This window comes from Homo sapiens, chromosome 3 (genome assembly GCF_000001405.40).
Source record: "Homo sapiens chromosome 3, GRCh38.p14 Primary Assembly".
NCBI classification, from domain to species: Eukaryota; Metazoa; Chordata; class Mammalia; order Primates; family Hominidae; genus Homo; species Homo sapiens.
The window spans coordinates 155,965,509-155,970,560 of NC_000003.12; the positions used below are offsets into that span (position 1 = coordinate 155,965,509).

The 5,052-nt window shown below is 43.4% G+C and overlaps 1 annotated feature.

The window, feature by feature from the left end:
- Window positions 4,525-4,692: a silencer, noted in NCBI's record as "fragment chr3:155687822-155687989 (GRCh37/hg19 assembly coordinates)". NCBI's record gives its function as "represses an EF-1alpha promoter that drives an FKBP-Casp9 reporter gene in an ReSE screen in HepG2 liver carcinoma cells {active_cell/tissue: HepG2}" and the evidence as "EXISTENCE:reporter gene assay evidence [ECO:0000049][PMID:32094911]".

Genomic DNA, 5,052 nt, shown 5'->3' on the forward strand with positions numbered 1-5,052 from the left:
ATATTCCTATTCATGCTCAGAAATCAACCCACCAATGTTGACACTTGTCAGTCCAGTGTTTCTGGACCTAGTTTGGATGATTCCAATCTTCTGGGCATCCTCCCAATTGTCCCAGAGGTGATACTCAATAAGGGGTAAAACTAGGACCCTTGTTAGGTACCCATCATCTGGCAGTTTCTCTTTCTCTTTGTTACCCCATTGTTTTCTTATCTCACTGCTTTCTTAGCTCATTGTTTTTGACACTCTTGTAACTTTCCCTCCCTTTGCCTTCATAGGTTTCAGAAGTGACACCAGAGAATCTTTCCCATTACAGTGAAAAGAATGCCAGTTTCTCTAATTCAACAGAACAGTTCCTGATGTTCTGATCCCAGACTTAGAAGGAAGTAGCCATCTCTCCACAAATTAGTCTGGGACTACTTCATGCTTTAGCTGTTTCTTATGGTTCTCTAACAGCCATATGTCTTATTCTATCCTTCTCCACCATCCCCTTTGTCTTCTGTTTATCATGAGTAAAGGCAAAATTCAGACACTTCATCTATCTTTCCTGGCCCAGCCTACTGCTGCTGAGTCCACAATTATCCTATGGCCCTTCCTTTCCACAAAGCTATCTCAGATGCCTGGGAAGCTCTGCCTTCTTAAAGGGGAGAGGGGGACCCTAAGATTCTGGAGCACCAGCCCGCATGTCCTAAGGCTGGCAACACTTTTCCTCCTGGGGAGAGGGGAGCTCCTTAACCACATTATGTGTGCTGTCTCTCTCTCTCGCTCTCTTTTTTTTTTTTTTTTTTTTTTTTTAATGTCTCAATACCCAGCTCAGGCCTCAGAATTTTTCTTCCCTGCTTAGAGAAGAGACACCTAGTGCTATGGTTTACATCTGTGTCTCCACCCAAATCTCAGTTGAAATGTAATCCCTAATGTTAGAAGTGAGGCCTGGTGGGAGGTGACTGGATCATGGGGGTGGATCCTTCATGAATGGGTGAGCACCATCCCTTTGGTGCTGTTCTCATGAAAGAGTTCTCATAAGATCTGGTTGTTTAAAAATATGTGGCACCTTTCCCCTCTCTCTCTTCCTGCTGCTCCAGCCGTGTAAGATGTGCCAGCTTCCCCTTTGCCTTCTGCCATGATTATAAGTTTCCTGAGGCCTCCTCCATAGCAGAAGTTGCTATGCTTCCTGTACAGCCTGCAGAACCATGAGCCAAATAAACCTCTTTTCTTTATAAATTACCCACTCTTGGGTATTTCTTTATAGCAATGCAAAAATGGACAAATAAATACCTAGGAATCTCAGATCTCACAGGTAACGTTCTTCTACGTCAGTCAGAGCTAAAGCAGCTTGGGTATGGAACTGACCATTAATATACCTACACCCAGATGGTGAAGTGAATTGAGATTAGAGTATTTTGAAATGAATTCCATGAATCTCCTTCCTCTGGAACAGTTTTAATTGCAGTCTGTGGGTCTTGGCCAGCCACACTCCATCTAGTTCCAACCACCTTCATCAGCCCAAACCTTATAACATTTCTTAGTTGGATATGCTGCTCCCTTATAAACTGTTGATTAAAAAGAAATCAATCTCTGCCTCTTCTGTTGTTCCAATAGGAAAGATGGGAAGGACACTCACTAGAGGTATTGAGACCTGAGATACTTCCATTCCAAAGCCTGTAGTGTCAAGTGCAGTCCCGGAAGATGATTATAGGATAGGCTTACAGTACCCTCTGAGATGACTCTCTCCTGGAAAAGTTGGTTTTCCACACATGGGTCAGTTTTCAGTTTCCAGGGTGAAGCACTTTTCTGGCTGCGAGGTTCCAGCAGAACCCACAGCTCTGTATCCACCTCTACACTCGCATGGCTGGGGCAATTCTTGACAGGTTCCACAGCAGTGGTCCTCATCTAAGCTCCCTCAGAGAGTGTGTTCAGGCTCTTCCTGATTGGTGTTAGGGACCAGACATCTTTTAAATTTTCCTTTAAGCTCTCCTTTTGCTGTTCTCTGAGCCAGTAAATTAAAAAATTTAAAAGATGACTGGTCTCCAGATTATCCTTGCCTCTATGGAACTCTCCTATCCCCAGAGATATGCTCCAGATTCCATAGGATACAGCTCAAGAAAACAATTATGGAATACTAGAGTCTACAGTGGCCTCCAAGGTGTGAGAATTTGGAGGTCATTCAGCCAATCACCAACTCTACTCAGTTCTACCCTCTTGGTCTATTTACTTTTCCATCCCTCTTTTTTTTCATCTTGGGTGTAGAATCCCATAGGCAATCACCCAAAATGAGTGGTTCCTTTGAACGCATACATTTTTTATTCAAAGTTATTCTTCATTATGCTGTGTAATTTTGTAATAGTGTGAAAAGAAGGTTCTTATATAGTATTAAATGAAAAAACCCAATATTATATTCACCCTATCATCATGTCTGTATAAAAATGTGGATGCTGTTGGAGCAGATCTAGAAAGAAATACAAAACTGAACCAGGTGATATGTTAGGAAAGTGGGTTTGTGAGTGATTGTATAATAGTACAAACTGATTACGCTTTTCTTTTTTGATTATGATTTCTTTTCTTTTCTTTTCTTTTTCTTTTTCCTTTTCTTTTCAAGACAGGGCCTTGCTTTGTTGTCCAGGTTAGAATGCAGTGTCATGATTATAGCTCACTGCCGCCTTGAACTCCTGGGCTTAAGTGATCCTCCCGCCTCAGCCTCCTGAGTAGCTAGAACTATAAGCATGTACCACCTGGCTAATTCTTTAATTTTTTTCTAGAGACAGGGTCTTGCTTTGTTGCCCAGGCTGGTATTGAAATCCTGAACTCAAGTGATCCTCCTGTCTCAGTCCCCCAAAGTGCTGGGATTAAAGACGTGAGCCACCAATCCTGGCCTGCTACAAAATCATATACAGCATAATCAGAAAATAAAATGGAAATAAGGGGAGAAGAAATTGGAACAAAAGGAGAAGGAGGTTGGAACTGTTGGCTAAGGTCTTGTAATTACTGCAGCTCTACAGATCCAGTGAACGACGGTAGAGCCACGAAGTAGAAAGAGCACAGGACCTGGCATCAGAAGGTAGGAATCTGAGCCCCAGCTAAGTGAGAAACAAGAAGGCAGCTCCTGACAGCTGTCAGCTGGGAGCTGGCCTGGCATGGGGTACTCTTGTTGAATGTAAACAATTTCACACAACACCAATATCTGATAAGGTCATTGTGTGTCCACAACAATGGGAGACAAAGGACCACACTTATAATCATGCCTGGGTGCTGACAAAAATAGAACATTGTACAAAATGCAAAAATACTAAACATCCCCTCACCTGGCTCACATGAGTGATCACTGCTTCTCTACCCATTACAGTATTAGCCCTGGCCTGCTAAATAAGAATTATCCAGATATCCAAGTATAGAATTGCTCCCATTATGTGAGAGCACCCAGTCCAGAAAAAACAAAACACAATGTGCTTCATCAATACAAGCCCAAATCACAAAATAAGCACTTGCTAAGAAAGTTTTATAAAAGGTCCCATGGCTTTCCATTCTTACAAGTATGTCATTAAACCCAGTTTTCTTCAGTTACAGGTGTGTTCTTGGCCATCTTTGGCTGCATTTTGCTTGCTGTAGGTTCTTTTTTCTTTTTCTTTTTTTTAGACAGAGTCACTTTGTTGCCTAGGCTGGAGTGCAATGGCGTGATCATGGTTCACTGCAGCCTTGACCTCCTGGGCTCAAGCAATCATCCTCAGCCCCCTGAGTAGCTGGGACTATAGGCATGTGCCACCACACCCAGCTAATTTTTAAATTTTTTGCAGAAGTGGGGTCTCACTTTGTTGCCCAGGCTTGTCTTGAAATTCTTGCTTCAAGCTCTCCTCCTTCCTTGGCCTCTCAAAGTGGTGGGATTACAGAAGTGAGCCACTTCAGCTGGCCTGCGCTGGGTTCTTGAGCAAAGCATTCAAACTTGCCATTCTTTGCTTTGATCTAGTCAGTGGAAAAGAAGATAATCTCTGGAAGAGAAAATAAGAAATTGCATGTGTAGTACACTGTACACCCTACAATGTTACCTACCCTTTACTTCCAGTTCTCTGAAAGCATAATGTTCTCTCAATTGCCTGGCTCTGCACATGCTGCCACTGCTCCCTCTGCTTGGAAAAACATTCCCTCAGCTGCCTATAAAACTGCTACTCATACTTTGGCTGTAGGTGCTGGGAATATTAGTGTATTAATTTCCTATTGCTATTGTAACAAGTTGCTACAAATTTAGTGCCTTAAAGTAACACAAATTTACTATCTTACAATCGTGGAGGTCAGAAGTCTGAAATGAGTTTCAATGGGCTAAAATGAAGGTGTTAATAGGGCTGTATGCCTTCTGGAGGCCCTAGGGGAGATCCATTCCCTTCCTATTCTAGCTTCTGGAGGTTGCCCGCATTCCTTGGCTTGTTGCCCCTTTATTTTCCAAGCCAGCAGCAGCCAGTTTAATCTTTCTCACATGTTGCTGAGGGTGCTATTTTTTTTTTACTGGGTGGCCATATAAGTCCTCTCTGATTGGGTGGTATGTGAACCAGGACCTGAGTGAAGTGAGGAAAGAGAGCTGCATGCATATCTTGGGAGGAAAGGTTTCTGGCATGGAGGATGGGGAGAGCTGCAGGAGCCACGTCAGGCAAGTAGCTGAGTAGGCCACATGCAAGCATGCTACTTATTTCTGAGTGCTTACCAGCAAGCCGACTGGAGGTTAATTTCTCAGGATCAGTTTCCTTGGTGCACTCTCCTAGCAAAGCAAAGCTTCACACTTCTCTGGAATCTATTCCACCAACCCCCAGCCAGGCTGTAAACCCCCAGAAGTGGGACTGTTTTGTTTACTGTTGCATTTCAAAAGGTCAGCATGGTGCCTAGGCTCTCCATACATGTCTGTTGTACAAATGGGAGACTATACTGATTCAATTTAGTGTAACCAGGCTTGAGGCAGAAATGGAACTGCTCTGGATGGGTTTGGATTTGAAATAGGCATGTGCCTCCTGATGTCTGTGAGACAGGTGGGAAGGGCTCCCTGGCAAAACTCCAGTTGCCTGTGCACAGGAAGGA